Here is a 22,576-nt window from a genome sequence, read left to right on the forward strand (position 1 = left end):
AAAAAATACAAAAATTAGCCAGGCGTGGTAGCACATGCTTATAGTCCCAGCTACGCAGGAGGCTGAGGTGGGAGGATGGCTTTAGCCTAGGAGGTGGGGTTTGCAGTGAGCCGAGATTGTGCCACTGCGCTGCAGCCTGGGTGACAGAATGAGACCGTGTCTCAAAAAAAAAAAAAAAGATTGAGGGTCTTTTTTTTTTTTTTTTTAACTGTTCCCAAATGTTGCTGGAGGATGTTTATTATGAATGATGCTAAAATTCTGGGCTATTCCAATTTCCTGCAAATTTACTCTTTTGAATTTATGTTTTGATGTAAACTTGTTGGTTTAGTTCTTCCCTTAGTTTTTTCTAAAGCTTTTAATGGTTTAATTATTTAGACATTTATTTTGCAAGTGCTTAGGATACCTTCGGGCTTATATAAATATTGAATAAACCCTCAAAGTTTCTTCATTTCCCTTCACTTATCCTTGTTTTATATCAGAGTAGTTAAGAATAGAGACAGCAGTGTCTGCACCAATTCAAAGCCAACTTTTGCCGTTTATTCACTGAATTACCTCTCTCAGCAGTTGGTTTGTGTTTTGTGTCACGTGAGCTATGTATACAGTACAGAGCATATCAGCAAGTTCGGAGCGGTTTATAAGGAGTGGCTGCTGTGATTCTGAGAGTATCGACAGTGCCCCGCTTGCTCATGCAGAAATAGTTTGGTTAGGGTTTTAATCACATCTTCATCGTCTGTCTTCCATCAGCCTGGAGTGTGTTGCCCTCTGTCCACCTGAAGGGCTCTCATGCTCTGTAAGGAGAGGGGTGGGTTAAACCTATGAGCCAGAGTAAGTATTTATTCATTGAATAGTTCAACCTGAAATAATGAGTTATCAGTTAGAAATGGACCCAAAGAACAGTTTCTAGTAATACAGCTTTTATTTGGAATAAACACCAAAGAAATACCACAGCTTCAAAAAAAATTTTTTTTTTGAGACGGAGTCTTGCTCTGTCACCTAGGCTGAAGTGCAGTAGTGCGATCTCAGCTCACTGCAACCACCACCTCTCAGGTTCAAGTGATTCTCCTGCCTCAGCCTCCTGAGTAGCTGGGATTACAGGCGTCTGCCACCACGCCCAGCTAATGTTTGTATTTTCAGTAGAGACAGAGTTTTGCCATGTTGGCCAGGCTGGTTTCGAACTCCTGATCTCAAGTGATCCACCTGCCTTGGCCTCCCAAAGTGCTGGGATTACAGGCGTGAGCCACCGTGCCTTGCCACAGCTTAAAAAATCGATAAATTTAAGCTGTGCCTCTGGCAAGAAATCTATGTTGATTTTCAGTGAGGGCATTGCTGACTTTCTACAAATACTGGTATTCAAAAATATACTTCTCTCTGTATAAGAGAATAATTTACAGCAGAGGTCAGGTCAGCACATTTTTTCTGTAAAGGGCCAGATAGTAAATACTTTTGGCTTTCTGAGCCATGCAATCTCTTTGGCAACTACTCACCTCTGCCTTTGTAGCCAGAAAACAGCCAGAGACGGAATGGAAACACATGGGTATGCTGTGTTCTAATAAAACTTTGCTTTCAAGAACAGCAACAGATTAGTTTGCCAACCCCTGATACAGAGCAGTGGTTCTCAAACACTAGTGGCCATCACAATGACCAGGATGGCTTGCTGAAACATAGATTGCTGGGTCCTGTCCCTAGAGTTTTGAATTGAATAGATGGGACTTGAGAATTTGCATTTCCATCAAGTTCCCAGATACTGCTCATGTGCCAGTCTAGACCACACTTCGAGACCACACTTCGAGTTATCTACTGAAATATGACTTCACGTTCTTCCAATTCAGGGGTCTTACGATCTTAGTATTTATTTTTTTGTGGCTACGTTTATTAGATGTGTCTTTGAAAAATTAAAAAGAGAAGCTCAATAGCATTTATACCAAACTTTGAATGAAAGCACAAGGAGAAATTTCCTATTCAGTAAAAATGCAGTCAGAATTTTATTTACTGCAGTAAAATCTCAATTAACTCAATTAATCCTCAAGAAGGAAGGATTTAGTTAATGTAATTTTCCTGCCAATTAAAATTTAAATCTAGTATCCCCTTACACTAATTCTAATTGTTAGATATTTTATTTTCTTAGCTTAGTAAGCTGAGTAAAGGAAATATAATTGAATCATTGATCATTTAGGATTTTCACTAGGATCATTAGGCAGATCAGTTCTCATGCTGTAATAGAATAGAGGCAGGTAGAGCAGGAATGTTTAAATGAGTAGTCGCTTTGCTTTGACCCTAGGACTTTAGACAGGCACATTCCCTCTGTCTCTGTCTCGTGCACTCTGTCTCTCTCTTAACTAAATCTCTGAAATAAGCTTGCTTTATTCTCCCTCCCCTTTGGTTTTTATTAATGTATTTAATGAAAGTACTATTATTTGCAAATGTCTTTAAGGTAATTTTAAATTAATGAAAATAGTGATGTTGTAGTTCCTAAGGAAAACATTTCTGTCTCAATATATACTTTAAAAATAATTCAAAGAGTCAAGGTTTGAATCTATTGTCCATTTGAGGGGAGCAGTACTTGAATGCAGAGCCATTAGAAGACAACTGGAAATTGGCTGGGTGCGGTGGCACATGCCTGTAATCCCAGCGCTTTGGGAGGCCAAGGCGGGCAGATCACCTGAGGTCAGGAGTTTGAGGCCAGCCTGGCCAACATGGCGAAACCCCATCTCTAATAAAATACAAAAAAATTAGCTGGGTGTGGTGGCGCGTGCCTATGATTCCAGCTACTCATGAGGCTGAGGCACGAGAATTGCTTGAACTCAGTAGGTGGAGGTTGCAGTGAGTTGAGATCACACTACTGCACTCTAGCCTGGGTGACAGAGTGATTCCATCTTAAAAAAGATAACTGGAAATTGGAAATTCAAGAATCTGTAAGATTCTTTCCAACTGTGAAAACCAGAGTCTGGGATCAGGTGCCAGCCTTTCTCTTTTTACCTAACAGAATTTCTGATTTCCAAGGATTCATGAGATTTTCATTTCTGTATCTCGAGAAAGAGTAAATGACCTAATTCAGATTCAGTACCATGGCATTAAGCTAATATCCACCCCTCAACTAAAAACACACAGAAATTCTTAGTAGAATTAGCATTTATTTTCAAATGGAGTAAATCTAATACTTAAGCTTCTTAAAGTAATATTGAAAATGTCTTACAATATTTTGATAACTTGTTTTTAATTATGAATGTTAACACTTAAAAAAGATACTATATTTTAGGCTAAGCTTCTATCACCATCAGAGAAAGAAATACCCGAGCAAAATAACACCACATCTCCAAAGACTTCTGAACAAAAATTCCAAGATAGTTTTGCTTTTTTGACTGCTGAAGATTCTGCCCAGAAAACAGGTACATGATTTTCTGTTGACTTACATAGGAAAAAATTTGTATTTGGGAAAGGTAGTTTGAAGTAAACAAAACATTTTTATTTTAATATCTATTAAAGAAAATATGAAGATAACATTGTTCTTTACCTTAATGTCTCTTATTAGCAAATTAACAGAGGATATGATGTTTTAATTTTGCTGTGCCATTTGAGATCATCTTGTACCCAAGAATTGCTGGTCTCTTCTTTTTTTAAAGAAGCAAGACATCTCAAATGATGACCTGTAGCAGGGGTTGGTAAACATTTTTTGTAAGGTTCCAATAGTAAATATTTTTTGCTTTTTGATCCATATGGTTTCTTTTTCTTTTCTTTTTTTTTGACACGGAGTCTTGCTCTGTCACCCAGGCTGGAGTGCAATGGTGTGCTCCTGGCTCACTGCAACCTCCGCCTCCCAGGTTCAAGCGATTCTCCTGCCTCAGCCTCCCATGCCCGGCTAATTTTTGTATTTTTAGTTGAGACGGAGTTTCACCATGTTGGCCAGTCCAGTCTGGAACTCCTGACCTCAAGTGATCTGCCCACCTTGCCTTCCCAAAGTGCTGGGACTACAGGCGTGAGCCACCATGGCCAGACTTGATCCATATGGTTTCTGTTGTGACTATTCAACTCTGCAGTTGTTGCACAAAATTGGCCATGGATAAGATGTAAGCCAATGGGGTGGCTGTCTTTCCATAAAACTTTATTTATAAAATCAGGTAGCAGACTGGATCTGACTTGGGGGCCAGAGTTTGCCAACCCTTAACCTATAGGCTTTTTCTTAACCCTCACTGTATTTTATTTTGACTGTGTTTTTAAGTTTGTTAATAATATGATTTTATTATTATTAATAACAATATTAATATTGTTCATTATTCTGCAGTTCACATTGCCAGGCATACAATGATATTTAGTAAGTACTTCAATAACAATCTGTTAGTGTAGCTGCCACTGGAAGAAAATAAGTAGGGAAAATCAAAAAGTAGAGAGGAAAATGTAACATTAAAGAATAAAAGGGGTCAGGCGCAGTGGCTCCCTCCTGTAATCCCAGCACTTTGGGAGGCTGAGGCGGGCAGATCACCTGAGGTCAGGAGTTCGAGACCAGCCTGACCAATATAGTGAAACCTCGTCTCTACTAAAAATACAAAAACTAGCCAGGCATGGTGGCAGGCACCTGTAGTCCCAGCTACTCGGGAGGCTGAGACAGGAGAATTGCTTGAACCGGGAGGCAGAGGTTGCAGTGAGCCACTGCACTCCAGCCTGGGCGACAGAGTGAGACTCTATCTCACAAAGAAAAAAAAATAGATTAAAAGGAAGGAAGAGAGCAAGATAGGGAAGAAAGGAACAAAGTTACTACAAAAGAGTAACAATCAACAAAATGGCAATACTAAGTTTTTACCTATCAATAATTACTTTAAATGGATTAAATTCTCCAATCAAAAGACACAGAGTGGTTGAATGGATAGAAAAAAGTGAGATTCAGCAATCTGCTGCTTACAGGGGACTCACTGTACCTTAAGGACAGATATAAACTGAAAGTGAAGGGTCGGAAAAAGATATTCCATGCAAATGGCAATCAAAAGAGAGCAGGGATGTGGTTATACCTACATCAGGCAAAATAGACTTTCTGTCAAAATTTGTCACAAGAGACAAAGACTAGATGATGATAAAAGGGTTAATTCATCAACAGGAAATAGCAATTGTAAATATATATATGCACCCAACATTACAGCACCTAAATGTATAAAGCAAATATTAATAGACCTGAAGAGAGAAATAGCAATACAATAAAAGAGTTCTTTAATTACCCCACCTTCAATAGTCGATAGATTATCCAGATAGAAAATCAATAAGGAAACAGTGGCTTGAATAATACTGTAGACCAGATGAATCTAACTAACATATACAGAACATTCCATCTAACAGCAGTGGAACACTTATTCTTCTCCAGTGTACAGTGCGCATGGGACATTCTCCAGAATTGATCATATGTTGGGCTACAAAATACATCTTAACAAATTTGAAAAGATTGAGATAATCTCAGATGTCTTTTCTGATCACAGCAGTATGAAACTAGAAATAATAGCAGGAGGAAGATTGGAAAATTCACAAATACATGGAAATTAAACAACACACTCCCGAATAACCAATGGATCAAATAAATTAAAAGGGAAATTAAAAAATCTTGAGATAAATGAAAATGGAAACATACCAAAATTTACAGGATGCAGCAAGAGCAGTGTTAAAAGGGGAGTTTATTAGCAATAAATACCTACCTTAAGAAAAAAGGAAAATCCCAAGTAACTTCACCCCTCAAGAAACTGAAAAAAGAAGAAACTAAACCCAAAGTCAGCTTAACGAAGAAAATAACAAATATTAAGGCATAAATAAATGAAGTAGGCACTAGAAAGACAATAGAAATGTTCAATGAAACTAAGAGTTTGTGTTTGGAAAGAATGAAATTGACAGACCTTTAGCTAGACTAACCAAGAGAAAGAGAGGACTCAAAAAAAACTGTTAATGAAAAAGGAGACACTACAACTGATACCACAGAACTACAAAGGATCATAAGCCATTACAACAAACAAATTATACACCAACAAATTGGATAACCTAGAAGAAATGGGTGAGTTTCTAGAAACATGCGACCTACCAAGACTGAATATAAAGAAATAGAAAAGCTGAACAGACCCATAATGAGTAAGGAGATCAAATCAGTAATCAAACCTCCCAACGGAGAGTAGCCCAGGGCCAGACGGTTTCACTGGTGAACTCTACCAAGTATTTAAAGAAAAATTAATGCCAATCCTTTTCAAACTCTTCCAAAAAACTGAGGTGGACAGAACACTTCCAAACCCATTTTATGAGGCCAGCATTACCCTCTTGTCAAAGCCAGATAAGAATGCTACAAGAAAAGAAAATTACAGGCCAATGTCTCTGATGAACGTATATGTAAAAACCCTCAAAAATACTAGCAAAACTTACTAAATAGCACATTAAAAGGACTATACACCATGTTAAAGTAGGATTTATCCCTGAGATTCAAGGAAGTTTCCATATATGCAAATCAATAAATGTGATAAACCACATTAAGAGAATGAAGGTTAAATTCATAGAATCATTTCAATAGATGCAAAAAAAGCATTTGACAAAATTTAACATCCTTTCATAATGACTTTCAACAAATTAAGTACATATAGAATGCACCTCAATATTAAAAAGGCCATATATGACAAGCCCAGAGCTAGCATTCCACTCAATGGTGAAAAGCTGAAAGCTTTTCCTCTAAGATCAGGAATACGACAAAGGTGTCTACTCTTGCCACTTCTGTTTAACATAGTACTGGAAGTCCTACCCAGTTCTATCCAGGCAAGAAAAAGAAATAAAAGACATCCAAATAGGAAGATGTTAAATTGTTTTTGTTTAAAGATGACATGATTTTACATATATCAAACTGTAAAGGCTTCACCAAAAAACTGTTAGAACTAATAAATGAATTCAGTAAAGTTGCAGGATACAAAATCAACATACAAAAATCAGTTGTGGGGTTTGCTTCTGGGTTTCAACAAAACAAAACAAAAATCAGTTGCATTTCTAGACACTAACAGTAAACTGTCTAAGAAAGAAATCAAGAAAATCTCAGCCAAGCATGGTGGCTCATGCCTGTAATCCCAGCACTTTGGGACGCCAAGGCCGGAGGATTACGAGGTCAGGAGATCGAGACCATCCCAGCTAACACAGTGAAACCCCATCTCTACTAAAAATACAACATATTAGCTAGGCATGGTGGCACACTCCTGTAGTCCCAGCTACTCAGGAGGCTGACGCGGGAGAATTGCTTGAATCCAGGAGGTGCAGGTTGCAGTGAGCTGAGATCACGCCACTGCATTTCAGCCTGGGTGACACAACGAGACTCCATCTCAAAAAAAAAAAGAAAATTTCATTGATAATAGCTTACAAAAAACACATAAAAATAACCAAGGAGGTGAAAGGTCATAATCTGAAAACTATAAGACATTGATGAAATTAATTGAAGACACAAATAAATGGAAGAATATCCTATGTACATGGATTGGAAGAATTGTTAAAATGTCCTTATTATCCAAAGCAATATACAGATTCAATTCAACTGCTATCAAATTTCTACTGGCATTTTTCACAGAAATAGAAAAAACTATCCTAAAATTTATATGGAACCACAAAAGATCCTAAATAGCCAAAGCAATCTTGAGAAAGAGGAATAAAGCTGGAGGCATCACACTTTCTGATTTCAAAGTGTATTCAAAAACTATAGTAATCAAAACAGTATAGTACTGCCATAGAGACAGGCACATAGGCCAAGATAACATTATGGGCCCAGACATAAACCTACACATATATATGGCCACTTAATCTTTGAAAAGGGCACCAAGAATACACAATGAGGAAAGGAAAGCGTCTTCAATAAATGTTTTGGGAAAACTGGTTATCCACATACTAAACAATGAAATTGGGCCTTTGTTTTATACCATATACAAAAATCAACTCAAAATAGGTTAAGACTTTAAGATCTAAAACTGTACAAGACAAAAATAGGGAAACAGCTCTTTGACATTGGTCTTAGCAATGATTTCTTGCATACAACCCTAATAGCACAATAAACTTTTGGGACTATGTCATACTAAAAATCTTGTGCACAGCAAAGAAAGCAATCAATCAAATGGAAAGACAACCTAAAGAATGGGAGAAAATATTGCAAATCATATATCTGATAATAGGTTAGGGGTTAATATTCAAAATAACTTCCACAACTCAAAAGCAAGACAACACATAACCTAATTAAAAATGGGTAAAGAAGCTGAATAGACATTTTTCCAAAAAAGAAGCACAAATGGCTAATGGGTATATGTACTCAACATCACTGATCATTAGAGAAATGCAAATCAAAACCATAATGTGATATCTCACACCTGTCCAGATAGCTATTATCGAAAAGACAGGAGATAACAAGTGTTGGCAAGGGTATGGAGAGAAGGGAACAATTGTACGCTGTTGGTGAGAATGTAAACTGATGCAACTATTGTGGAAAACAGTATGGTGTTTTCTCAAAAAAATTAGAATTGTATAGAATCCATCAATCCCACTTCCATGTATATATCCAAAGCAGATAAAATCAGCATCTTGAAGAGAGATCTGCACTCCCATGTTTATTGCAGCATTATTCACAATAGCCAGGATATGGAATCAGCCTAAGCACTGGTCAGTGGATGAATGAATATAGAAAATGTGGTATATATTAATAATGGAATACTATTCAGCCTCAAAAAAGAAGGAAATCAGGCCATATGCAACAACATGGATAAACCTGGAGGACATTATAGTAAGTGAAATAAGCTAGTCACTAAAGGACAAATACTATATAATCTCACATATATACGGAATGTAAAAAAGTCAAACTCATAGAAACAGAGAATGGAACAGTGGTTGCCAGGTGCTAGGAGGTGGGGGGAAAGAGGAGATGGTCCTCGAAGGATATAAACTTTCAGGCATAACATGAACAAGTTCTGGGGATGTAATATACAGCACAGGTAGTGATGGATGTGTTCATCGATTTGAAAGTGATAATCATTACACCGTATATATGTATATCAAATCATCAAAAAAGAGTAAGAGGCAATAAGGGAGGGGTTTCTAAGGGAGAGAAGAATCACAAGATTGAGGTGGAAGAATCCCTGCCCGTGTTATTTGAGGCCAGATGGGCAGCTCCTTAAGGTGCCGATCTAGTTGAAGTAACTGGCTGTTAATCTTAACTACAGATGTACAAACCTAATAAGAATTCATCTTTGACAAACCTGACAAAAACAAGAAATGGGGAAAGGATTCCCTATTTAATAAGTGGTGCTGGGAAAATCGTCTAGCCGTATGTAGAAAGCTGAAACTGGATCCCTTCCTTACACCTTAAACAAACATTAATTCAAGATGGATTAAAGACTTAAATGTTAGACTTAAAACCATAAAAACCCTAGAAGAAAACCTCAGCAATACCATTCAGGACACAGGCATGGGCAAGGACTTCGTGTCTAAAACACCAAAAGCAATGGCAACAAAAGCCAAAATTGACAAATGGGATCTAATTAAACTAAAGAGCTTCTGCACAGCAAAAGAAACCACCATCAGAGTGAACAGGCAACCTACAGAATGGGAGAAAATTTTTGCCATCTACTCATCTGACAAAGGGCTAATATCCAGAATCTACAAAGAACTCAAACAAATTTACAAGAAAAAAACAACCCCATCCAAAAGTGGGCAAAGGATATGAACAGACACTTCTCAAAAGAAGACATTTATGCAGCCAACAGACACATGAAAAAATGCTCACCATCACTGGCCATCAGAGAAATGCAAATCAAAACCGCAATGAGATACCATCTCACACCAGTTAGAATGGCGATCATTAAAAAGTCAGGAAACAACAGATGCTGGAGAGGATGTGGAGAAATAGGCACACTTTTCTTTTACACTGTTGGTGGGAGTGTAAACTAGTTCAACCATTGTGGAAGTCAGTGTGGTGATTCCTCAGGGATCTAGAACTAGAAATACCATTTGACCCAGCCATCCCATTACTGGGTATATACCCAAAGGATTATAAAACATGCTGCTATAAAGACACATGCACAGGTATATTTATTGTGGCACTATTCACAATAGCAAAGACTTGGAACCAACCCAAATGTCCAACAACGATAGACTGGATTAAGAAAATGTGGCACATATACACCATGGAATACTATGCAGCCATAAAAAATGATGATTTCATGTCCTTTGTAGGGACATGGATGAAGCTGGAAACCATCATTCTCAGCAAACTCGCAAGGATGAAAAACACCACATGTTCTCACTCATAGGTGGGAATTGAACAATGAGAACACATGGACACAGGAAAGGGAACATCACACACTGGGGCCTGTTGTGGGGTGGGGGGAGGGGGGAGGGATAGCATTAAGAGATATATCTAATGTTAAATGACGAGTTAATGGGTGCAGCACACCAACATGGCACATGTATACATACGTAACCTGCACGTTGTGCACATGTACCCTAAAACTTAAAAGTATAATAAAAAAGAATTCGTGTCCCGAAAGACACAGTCAGTAGATTTTTGTTTCACTTAGAACTGTGTTCCTTTTTTTTGATGATGAGATTTAATATCTAGAATGATAGTGAATTCTTATTGCTTTGTTACTTGGCGTGTATTCACTTGAAACTTCTCTCTAATGCTCAGAGCTTCAAGATCCTCACTCACTGAGTGAGCTCTCTTCCTTGAAGCACTCAGAAGATGAAGAAAAACCTAAGGTACTATTTAATTGTTGGTTATTCATCTGATTTTCCAGAATTAATATCATATTTGCATAACACATTGGCTATTCCTTCTGACGAGTACACCACTTGTTTCTTGCTTTGCCATAAAGGACGTAATTTGTGGTCTGTTTTGTTTTTAAGATTGTGAACCAAGAATCACTAACAGAAAGTACTAGCTTGAAACATAAGCTGAGAAACTTGGAAGACAAAGGTAAGAGAATAGTACTTTTTTTTTTTTTTTTGCAGAATAAAATGAAATTAATCTGATTTTGGCAGACTGGGCTGTTACTCAGATTGCAGATCAAGTCACTTTGCACAGTGACTATTGCCAGGCCGTGGAGGGAGCAGTGTGAGCTGCTTACTAGTTCTAAATGTTCATGAAGGTTAGGAGGAAAAATGGGGGGCTCCATTCAGGAACCAGGACCTCTTGTGCCAAGGAAGGTATAGCCTGGGACCTGAATCCCACCAGCCAGTCACACCTTCTCTCCAGCCTCAGAGGAGGGCACAGTGGCGGTACTTTGCTAAGGGTCTCATCCAGAGCTGATTTCATTCTCAAGCATGTAGGTCACTTGTGGTTTATAAGAAATGTTCTAAAACATTGTGTGGTCAAATTATTAAAACTTCTGAGTTCATTTACTCATGTTAACAGTGGTATGAAGATTTCCAGTCTGGTTCACAATGTTGTATCTAATATAATGTAATGAGTTAATATAATACTTTTCTACTGTTTATGATGTTTCTTGACTGCATTTTTTTCTCTACTTTTAAAATTACGTATCGAAAGGATTCAACTAGTTATAAATATGTGTAGGATATTTAGAATATTAATGCAACAAATATCTGCAAACCACCATCCTGTTTTAGGAATATAACATTACTATTGCTTTCAAAATCCTGGTATGCTTTACCTGAAACCCATCCCACCCCCTCCCCTTAATTTTATGTCTGAGTCTCTGCTTTTTTGTTCATTCGTGCGTTGTGAGAAATACCATACATTCAGAAGAGATAGATGTGTACAGTTTAAAGAATGACTATAAAGTGAACATCTGTGTAACCACAGCTCAAACTGGGAACTAGAAAATTGCCATTGGCTTAGAATCCTTCCATACCAGATTATTACTTATTAATTTCTTTCATCCCTCATAGAGGTAATGACTTATGACTTTTGTAAACATCCTTCAGTTACTTCTTTTTATAATTTTGCTTTCTCCATATGTATCCCTAAATAATATACAGTTTAGTTTTATCTGATTCTAAATGTAAACAAATGACATTATACTGTATACATTATATGTGGCTTCTTTTGCTCAATCATTTGTGAGATCCATTCATGCTAATGTGTGTAATTGAGGTATATTTCTTTACTATTTAGCATGCAGTTACATGAAAATACCATATTTAAAAATCCATTCCAGTGCTGTGGGATATTTGGATTTTTGCAATTTGGGTTGTTAGAAATAATGCCACTATGAAGAATCATGAACTCTCTCCTGATACACAGGTTAAAAATCTTGTCTAGGCACATTTTTAGGAGTATAATTGCTGGGTTATAAAATATGTATACCTTTAACAATTTTACATATGCCAAACTTTCTCAAAGTGACTGTATCTTTTACTTTTCCACCAGCCGTATATGAGAGTCCTGTTGCTTTACATCCTCACCAACACTTGGTATTTTAAATTTCTGATATATGTGTGTGTGGACACTGAAGTTTTAATTCAAATATCCCTGATTGAAATTTAGCATAATTTTGTGTGTTTATTAGCCATTTGAATTTCCTCTTGTGTAGTGTCTAACACGTCTTGCCTAGTTGTCTATAGAATTATCTTCTTATATTGATTCCTAGGAATTCTTCGTAATACATTCTGGACACTTGTCCTTGATTATGTGGCTTGTAAATATCTTCTTCCACTGTGTGGTCTGTACTTCTCTCTCTGTATAATCTGTTTAAGATTGCTTTTTTTGATAAATCAAAGCTTTTAATTTTAATAAATTCTCTTTCATCTTTCCTCTGTGGTTAGTCATATGAAATTCTTACCTACCAAAAAGATATTATATATTATTTCCTATGTTACTACATTTAATGCTATCCATTTCTCTCTAAGTACTGCTTTAGGTGAATCCCACACATTATAATATATATTTGTCATTATTTACTTTAAAATATTATTTTTTATTTTTTAATTTTTTTATTTTGAGACAGAGTCTCACTCTGTCACCCAGGCTGGAGTGTAGTGGCGTGATCTTGGCTCACTGCAACCTCTGTCTCCCAGGTTCAAGCGATTCTCCTGCCTCAGCCTCCCAAGTAGCTGGGATTACAGGCATGTGCCACCATACCCAGCTAATTTTGCATTTTTAGTAGCAACGGGGTTTCGCCATGTTGGCCAGGCTGGTCTTGAACTCCTGACCTCAGGTGATCTGCCTGCCTCGGCCTCCCAAAGTGCTGGGATTACAGGCATGAGCCACCGTGCCCGGCCTAAAATATTTTTTATTTTGATTTCTTCATTGATCCAAATGTTGGTTAGAAGTATATTTGTTAATTCTCAGTGGTATAGGAGCTTTTAGCTATCTTTTTGTTATGGTTTTCTACTTTGATTGCATTGTGACTAGAGAACATAGTCTGTATGATTATACCTTTTGAAATTTTGAGATGTACGTTATGGCTTAGTATATGCCAATTTTTAAAAATATTAATTTGTGGTTAAAAGAGTATATTTCACAATCATTGGGTGCAGTGTCTCTATATATGTATATTCATTAGGTTACTTTTCTTAACTATGTCCTTCAAATCTTACATTCTTACTGTTTTTTAATCAGTCTACTTATTCTATCAAGTGCTGAGAGAAGTGTATTAAAAACTTTCGCTATGATTGTGGATTTGCTGGTTTTTTCTTCTGGTTCTGTTCAATTTTTGCTCCCTATAAATCTTTTTTCTAAATAATAAGTCTTTAGGCCAGGCGTGGTGGCTCACACCTGTAATCCCAGCACTTTGGGAGGCCAAGGTGGGTGGATCACCTGCGGTCAGGAGTTCAAGACCAGCCTGACCAACATGGGGAAACACTGTCTCTACTAAAAATACAAAAATTAACCAGGTGTGATGGTGCATGCCTGTAATCCCAGCTACTTGGGAGGCTGAGGCAAGAGAATCACTTAAACCCAGGAGGCGGAGGTTGCGGTGAGCCAAGATCGTGCCATGGCACTCCAGCCTGGGTAACAGAGTGAGACTCCATCTTAAAAAAAAAAAAAAAAAAAAAAAAAGAGTAAGTCTTTAGATAAAAGTAAAATATTTACCTTATTGTATATTTGCCTTATGGCATATTAAAACTCTTATCATTATGAAGTGATGACCCCTGTATCTAGTCATGTTTTTGTCTTGAAGTCTGTTTATTTCGTTTAGAATTTGCATGGTATAATTTCTAAAAGTCTTTTCATGACTGACATATGTGTATGTGTTTCATAATGTTATATATATAACTTGTAAACAGCCTGTATTTGGACTTCCTTGCCCCTCATTTCATAGTATGTCTTTTAACTGGAGTATTTAGTCCATTTACATTTCATGTACTTTCCCCCATATTTGGATTATATCTACCAATTTGTTTTGTGCTTTCTGTGTGCCCCAACCATTCTGTTTTCTTTCTCTCATTCTTTTCATTTTGCATAAGTATTTTTATTGTATTTTTTACCTCTACTCATTTGTAGTTATATACTCTATTTCTTTTTTCATTTACTGATTAACTTAGAAATCATAATGTGTCATTTCTAAGCCTAAATTTAATCTAGTGTTACTTTTCCATAACGTGTAAATTTCTAAGCCTAAATTTAATTTAGTGTTAATCTAGTGTTACTTTTACATAATGTGTAAATTTCTAAGCCTAAATTTAATTTAGTGTTACTTTTCCTCCAGATTATATAGACCTAAGATCCTTGAATTCCATTGGCCTACCCCAACCACATAATGTGTTGGTGTTCTTTAATTTTATTTTAAAACTTGAGGTTGAATTTTTGCTTTATGAAAATGCCCATTCAACCTTTATTCTTGAATTAAATTTTACTGGGTGAAGAATACCATATTGGCAGAATTTTTTCTGTCATACATCAAAGAAATTATTCAATTGCTTTTTGTTTTCTATTCTTCCTGATGAAAATTTAGCTGTCAATCTACCAGTCATTCTTCAAAGGTAATTTGTCCTTTTTTTTCCCTCCTCAATATATATATGATTTTTTCCATTTATCCTTGGTAATGTTCCACTTATTAAAATTTGTCTAAGTAAGTCTAAATACGTCTAAGATAAACCTTTTTGTTTATCTTCCTTGGCATTTGTAGGGAATCTGGAATATGTGACATGTCTTTCATCAGTTCTGGAACATTCTCAGCAATTATCTCCTCAAATATTGCTTTTGGCTCATTCCTCTTTCTCCTGCTTGAACTCCAACTAGATTCCACATCTTTTACCCACTCCTACGTATTTTCTATTCCTTCACTTTATTTGCATGCTAGATAATTTCATCTGTTTTTCACAACTACCTGTTCACCAGTATCTAATACTGGACCTATCATTGAATGTTTATTTTATTTTTTATTTCTAGAAGTTGTTTGGTTCTTTCTAGAGCTACTAGGTCCTTTTGTGTAGTTCCTATTCCCTGAAGATATTTTTGAGCTTGTTTTTCTTTGTTTAAATAGAGTAGTTTATCTTCTTTCCTCTTTTTCAAAGTTGACTTTAGTTGTTCAAGGGACTTCTTATTTTTTCATATAAATTTAGACCAAGTTGATCAAGTTACTTAAGTTCACTAGAATTTTGATAGAAATTGCATTAAATATATAAGTTAACTTGAAGAGAAGTGACATCTTTAAAATATTAAACCATCCCACACAAGAGTATGAAATGTCTCTCTATTGATCTGTGTCATTGTCTGCGTCCTTTATTGAGTTTTAAAGTTTTCTCTGTGAAGGGCTTATGTATTTTTGGGTAATTCCTAGGTATTTATGATTTTGTTACTATTGTTTTAAAATTTGTTATTGCTAAAGTAGAGCGATACTGTTAATTTTTATAAAATAACCCTGTATCTGGCAACCTTGCTGAACTCTTATTAGGTCAAATAATTTATCTGTTGATTCTCTTAGTTATCCTAAGTAGATGATTCTATTACTTGCAAAAAATGATAGATTCTTTCTCCCCTTCTGATACTTACATCTCTTATTTTTCATTCTTCATAGCATTGGCCAATATCTTTAGTATGTCTTAAAAATAGCAGTGAAAATCTGCATCCTTGTCTTTTTTCTAATCTTATAGCAAATGCATCTAAAGTTTCTCTGTTAAGTAAAATGTTTGCAGTAGATTTTTGGTATTGAATTTTTACCAGGTTAAAGAAGTTCCTTTCTACTCATAATTTGCTCTGAGTTTTTAAAAAATCATACATAAGTATTGAAGTTATGAAATGCATTTTTCTGCATCAACTAAAATAATCAAATGAATTTTCTCCTTTGGTTTCTTTTTTTCCCTCCAGCTTTATTGAGGAATAATTGGCAAATAAAAATTGTATATATTTAAGGTATCTAATATGATATTTTGTTACGCATATGCATTGTGAAATGATTACCGTAATCAAGCTAATTTACATATCCCCTCACATAGTTATCTTTGTGTGTGTGTATGCGTGTGTTAATAATAAAGATCTACTCTCTCAGCCAATTTCAAGTACATATACATTATTATTAGCTGTAGTCACCATTCATATCTCAGGTCTCTAGAACTTTTTCATTTAATAACTGAAAGTTTATGCCTTTTGACCAACGTCTCCCGGTTTTCCCAACCCCTTGATTCCTGGTAACCACCCTTCTATGCTAAGTGAAAGAAGCCAGACACAGACCAATGCTGCATAGTTTTACTTATATGTGGAATTTTTAAAAGTACAACTCATAGAAACAGAGAGTAGAAGGGTGTGGTGGTCCTTTTGCTTATTAATATGACAAATTATATCAATAGGTATTATGTTGTTCAGCCATACTTGTGTTCCTGGGATAAACCTCATTTGATTGTGGTACATTTAAAAAAAGATACATTGTTGGACTTATTTAGTGAATACCTTATTAATGAGCTTTACATCTACACTCATGAGTGGAACAAACCTGTACTTTTCTCCTACTGCTATTATCTGGCATTGGAATCAGTGTCACACTAGCCTGTGGATGGAAGCTGGGCAGCTCTCTCTCTTGCTGGAAAAGTTTATATATGATAAAAACTAACTATTTTTTAAAAGTTTGTAAAACCACCTGGGAATTTGGGGAATTTGGGGGAAAACGTTATTATTTCAATTTCCTTAATAGCCACTGATATACCCAAGTTCTCTATTTCTTCTTGGGTCAGTTTTGGAATTCTGTGTTTTTCTAGGAATGCCTCTCTTAGCATCATATTTTTTAGTGTGCTTCTTAATGTTTAATTTTAATCATTGTAGTTGTTTCCTTTTTATTGTGTACTTGCTTATTTGTATCTTTGACTCTTGATAAGTTTTACTAGAGGTCCACCTAACTCATCTTTTAAAGAATTGATATTTTGGTTTGTTACTCTTCTCTGTTTTTATTTCTATTGTTTTCTCTTCTGTTGTTATCTGCTCTTTTCTATTTTTACTTCTTATATCTTTACGTTTATTCTGATGCTCTTTTTCCAGCTTTTGAGTTAAATACTCATTTGTTTTTAACCTTTCTGTTTTCTTGATAAATGCATTTAAGTTTTCTTAGAAATGCTTTGGCTATATCACATTTTGATATTAGTGCTTTTGTTACCATCAATGGTTAGTAGTTCTTCCTTTTTATGTATTTTTTAAAACCCAGTTATTTAGTAAAATTTAATGTAGTTTCCAAGCATATGGGATACTTTTGTTACTTATTGCTAATTTTTTGCAACATAGTCAGAGAAACACAGTCTGTACAATATCTTTCCTTTAGATTTACTGGGGCTTACATTAAGGCCTAACTGGACTTGCCTTATGGCTGAAAACGGTATCCAAATTTCATAAGTGTTCTGTATGTACTTATCTATATCCTTTGTTCTATTTTATATGTTTTGAGGCAGTGCTACTAGGTGCATCAGGAAGTGACTGTTCATCTCTAGTAACTCTTCTTACTTAGTTAATATCAATAAAGCAACACTAGTTTTCTTTTGGCTAATATTTACCTGATACATCTTTTTTTTTTTTTTTTGCCATTCTTTTACTTTCAGTCTTTTTTTCATCCTTGTGAATTGCTGACTATCACATAAAGAGCTTATATCTGGATTAAAAAAAATCTGATCTGACAATCTCTTTTAATAGGAGCAATTAATCCATTGTGCTTCCATTGATATATTTGGATTGAGTTTTCTCGTCTTTGTCCCACATTCTCATTCTTTTATTCTTTCTGTCCTTGCCTTCATTTAGATTTATCATTTTTAATCATTTTCCCCCTTTTCCTAGTTTGGAAGTTTTCGTCCCCTATTTCTAAAGTTAACCCTAGAAATTTTAACACACACACTTTTAAAAGCTTCAAGTAAATGTTTTCACCATATCCCAAACAGAAGAAGGACCTTTGAGCACTAACTTCAATCACATTTCTGAACATTTAGTTTCCAAACATATGGGTTATTTTAAAGCTGTCCTTTCATTACCTTTTGCTAACTTATTGCAACATGGTCAGAGAAACACAGTCTGTACAATATTGTTTGTTTAGAATTTATTGGGGCTTATATTAAGACCCAATTTGACTTGCCTTATGGTTGAAAACTGTATCCAAATTTCATGAGCGTTCCGTGCCGTACTTATTCTTCTGACCCTTTGGCTGCTTCTCTAGTTTTTTTAATTCGTAAAATGTTCTCTGTTGGTATTACTTTACTCAGTGTTTTATTAGATTTACACTCAGATTTAATCATTTTGCTCACAATTCCTCTTTGCACCTTTCCTCCTGGTATCACTGTCCTTTTGTTCTTTTTGCCTGAATTACTTCAAAAAATATTTTTAGCATTTTCATTAGAGGATTTATGTTTCTTTTAGAAAATACAGTCTAAGGTCCAATTGGTCTTTTGTTTTTGTAGTATGATCAGCAGGAGCCCCTCCTTTAACTAGAGCCTCTCCTCCAGCTCTCTAACAGAAGCTAGGTGAGAAGAAGAGACTTGTGTCAGAGGGACCCTCAGATAGACTGGAGTACGGTGTGCAATTTCGGGTCACTGCAGCCTTCGATCTCCCAGGCTTAAGCAATCCTCCCACCTCAGCCTCCCAAGTAGGTAGGACTACAGGTGCATGCCACCACACCCAACGGATTTTTGTAATTTTCGTAGAGACAGGGATTTGACATGTTGGCTAGGCTGGTCTTGAACTCTTGGACTCAAGCAATCTGTCACCTCAGCCTCCCAAAGTGCTGGGATTATAGGCATGAGCCACATGCCCAGCCAGAGGATAATTTTTTTTTTAAGATTTTGAATTTTGCCTTCATCTACTTTCTTGGAGAGGTCTCCAGAATCAGGAAGGAGTCAGGAGGATAGTTCCTTCCTAGCTCAGTGCCCGGCATATAGACACACTCCATAAGTATTTGTCAAGGGAATGGAGTAAGAAACTTAGAAAACCCAACATTTAAGACTGGGCATGGTGGCTTATGCCTGTAATCCCAGAACTTTGGGAGGCCAAGGCAGGAAGATTGCTTGAGCTTAGGAGTTCAAGACCAGCCTGGGCAACATAGTGAGACCCTGTCTCTACAAAAATTACAAAAACATTAGCCAGGCATGGTGGCGTGTCCCTGTGTTCCCAGCTACTCTGGAGGCTGACATGGGGGTGGTTGAGCTTGGCAGGATGAGGCTGCAGTGAGCTGTGATCGTGCCACTGCATTCCAGCCTGGGTGACAAAGCAAGACCCTGTCTCAAAAGAAACAAACAAAAAGAAAACCCAACATTTAATGATGAAACTCTGCTTGATTCGCTATTTAAGCATTTATATGTAGTCACAAATAAATATTTATTATCAGTTGAGTTATCCATTCTTAACTGCATTAATCTATACAAAAGATATTTAGTAGTTCCCATCAAACTGAGTAATTCAACAGTAAAGATAGTCTTTAAATTGTCATACTCTTAGCACTTAATAAACATCGGTAAACAAAGTACTTGCCTTGGGAAAGCGCTGTAAAAACCACAGAGGATCTTTTGGTAGATTCTGTTCTTGCTCAGGAAAGACTGTTGGCCTTTATCATTGTTTACCACAGGGTGTCACTTCAGAGCAAGGTTTCAAAAAATGCCTTAACTTAGGGGAGCTTGGCTGTTAACCATAGGTCTGGCATTAAACATTGTTTTTAACAGAAGTTTTGTAAGTTGAAAAATACAACACAGATGCCAAACATACGTTCACTGAAACTTGTGCCCAGTCGGCTACCCAAGATAAGTTCAGAAGCTCCTCAGATTGTACCTGTCTTCACTTTTCTTGGAAATGAAGAAAGCCGGGTTCTTGTGAGAGCAGGAGCACACCCCCTCTGCAGCCACCAACACATACACATGGATTTCACATTCTTTTAAGATGACTTGACTGCGTTTGTGTTTATTTTTGAGGTGTTCTGTGTATGTAGTTTTAACTCTGTTATGAAAATGTTGAAACGTGCTAGTGAAAAGTGGCATACAGTTACCATGGAAACAAAACTGAGCCAAGGACATCACTTAGTACCTGCAGCCTCTCCTGATGAAGTGCTGGTTCTTGTGCAGGAGCCTGTGCTCTCTGGAGAGCCATGCCTTTGGTAAAGGTAAAGAACTTCACGAGCACTGCCACTTCGAAGAAGGTTTCTAAAAGTCTAGTGATTTCCATGTCCCTGAAGCCATCCAACTGGATGATCCCTTGTTAGTAGGTTCACAAATTCCGCATAATTCATTCAAAGGGTGACCAGGTTATTTACACGATGTTCCTGGATTTCTCTCTTTGGTGGATGTAACTAGTGTCTGTGCTGACAGATGCCTTGCTTTGCCCCAGGTATGCATGGGGGTGGAACATTGAAATTCAAGGACAAACTTTGGGCTATTGCTACAAATTTGCCACCAAGAAAAAAAAAAAAAGTTCCAGAAGGGGCAGAACAGGTAGTAAGGAAAAGAAACGTGGTGATTGTTGATCAGTGCCTAATTGAGGCTAGGTGGAATCCTTTTTAAGTGGTTTCTTTTGGCCCTGACTGCGGTATAGACACCACAGAAGATGCAAGCATGAATGTTGTTTGCCTTGAGGCTGAAAGAAAAGGATAGAGTTGTAATTGGGTTCTTTTTTTTTATTTTTAAAAATCTTTGCCCTTGAAATGACGGGATCCCCCCAGAAAATATCCATCCAAACCCTTCAAACAAATGGACACACCTAAGTCTAAGTGCAATGAGAAGAAAAGAGGTACTAGCTCCTATAAGATGCCTCTCACAGATAAGAGTATTTCTTAATGTGTTTCTTTTCTTTTTTTATTACAGAGAGGCCAGATACTGGCTGTTTCTTTTCTAAGTTCTGCAGAATGGGAATGTGATCTCTAATGAATTTTTCAGTTTATGAAAGTACTATTATAGAATACTAATTAGGGTGTCCCATGAGGTCTGTCCTTAATAGTTATTACTAGTTACTATTATTACTAGTTTAATCCTTTTTGCTTTGAGATCATCCTTTTTCTTTCTCAATTGGTATTTCTTACCTCTCATTTATAATTTTCTTTTTTTCCAAATTCATATATTTATAGATTCCTCCAAAAGGTAGTTTTATCAGATCTTAAAGTGCTAAATATATTAACTGCTATTTGTCTTAAAGTGTTAAATGTATTAATTGCTATTTGTCTATTAATAAAGGCAGTTTCTTTTCCTTACTTCCTGTTCTGCCCCTTCTGGAACTTTTTTTTTTCTTAGTGGCAAATTTGTAGCAATAGCCCAAAGCATGGCCACTATAGCAAATATGTAGTGGCTATTTAGGTCTCTAAAGCTTGTGATGTTTCTCTACCTCTACCCTCACCACTAGGAGAATTAGAATAAGAGAACTGAAATAAACTCTTATCTGTTGTATTGAGATCTCCATTGGGCATATCAGGTGTTTTATTTGTAGGAGCTTGGGTATTCTGCAGCATTCATCTATTCATTTGTTGAACAAATGTTTATTGAGTGTCTACTATGTGCCAGACACTTCTGTAGGTGTCAGGGATATGGTAGTGAAGAAAAAAAATGCCTGCCCTCACTGGGCCTTACCCTCTAGTGTGGGAGACAGATGATGGACAAGTAAAACATGTAGTATGTTGTATGTGATAAAGGCTGAGAAGAAAATTAAGCTGGGAAGAGAGTGTGAAGAGTTGGGAGGCTACATTGAAATTTAAGGTTAGATGGATGGAGAAATCCTTGGTGCAGATCTATGGGGATGTGCTCTGGTCAGAGGTCAGAGGAGTCTCAAGTGCAAAGGCCTTGAGGTAAGACCGTGCCTGGGATGTCCAAGGAACTACAAGGAGACCAGGATATCAGGAGCAGAGTGGAGGAAGGGTCACTTCGTCTTTACCTCTCACTATCTGCCAGCCGCATCGCCCTGCCTCTCGCACATAGTAACGTCCACATATTCATGGAATGAATTAGTGAAATTGAATTCCAGAACTTTCAGAGAGAAAAACCAACAGCAACTAGACAGGCATGTGACAAAAGAGAAGTCAGATGATGTCACAACTAAAGGTACAGTGCGGGGGAGAGAGTGGTTTTAAGTGGGAGGGATAGACTCGAGTGGGGTTTGAAGTAAAGATGTCAAATACTTGGAGACACAAGTTGGCCGCTTGAGAGAGCTCAGGCAAGAGAGAGATTTGGAAGTGACAATTGAAGGTGAAGGATTGACGATTTCCTC

General features: G+C 36.7%; 1 protein-coding gene and 1 long non-coding RNA gene across 2 annotated transcripts in view; one reads left to right on the forward strand and one right to left on the reverse strand.

The window, feature by feature from the left end:
- Nucleotides 1-22,576, forward strand: part of SYCP2L (synaptonemal complex protein 2 like) — an 87,258-nt gene that overhangs the window by 44,750 nt on the left and 19,932 nt on the right. The window contains exons 21-23 of the mRNA NM_001040274.3: nt 3,257-3,386; nt 10,658-10,728; nt 10,876-10,945. Coding sequence (NP_001035364.2) covers nt 3,257-3,386; nt 10,658-10,728; nt 10,876-10,945 — 271 coding nt within the window. The remainder of the gene's footprint in view (nt 1-3,256; nt 3,387-10,657; nt 10,729-10,875; nt 10,946-22,576) is intronic.
- LOC101928191 (uncharacterized) lies at nt 516-22,288 on the reverse strand. Its single transcript, NR_125851.1, has 3 exons — nt 22,244-22,288; nt 19,868-20,580; nt 516-788 (listed from the first exon to the last, which is right to left on the reverse strand). It is a non-coding gene; the product is annotated as an uncharacterized LOC101928191 (long non-coding RNA).

This window comes from Homo sapiens, chromosome 6 (genome assembly GCF_000001405.40).
Source record: "Homo sapiens chromosome 6, GRCh38.p14 Primary Assembly".
Classification (NCBI taxonomy): domain Eukaryota; kingdom Metazoa; phylum Chordata; class Mammalia; order Primates; family Hominidae; genus Homo; species Homo sapiens.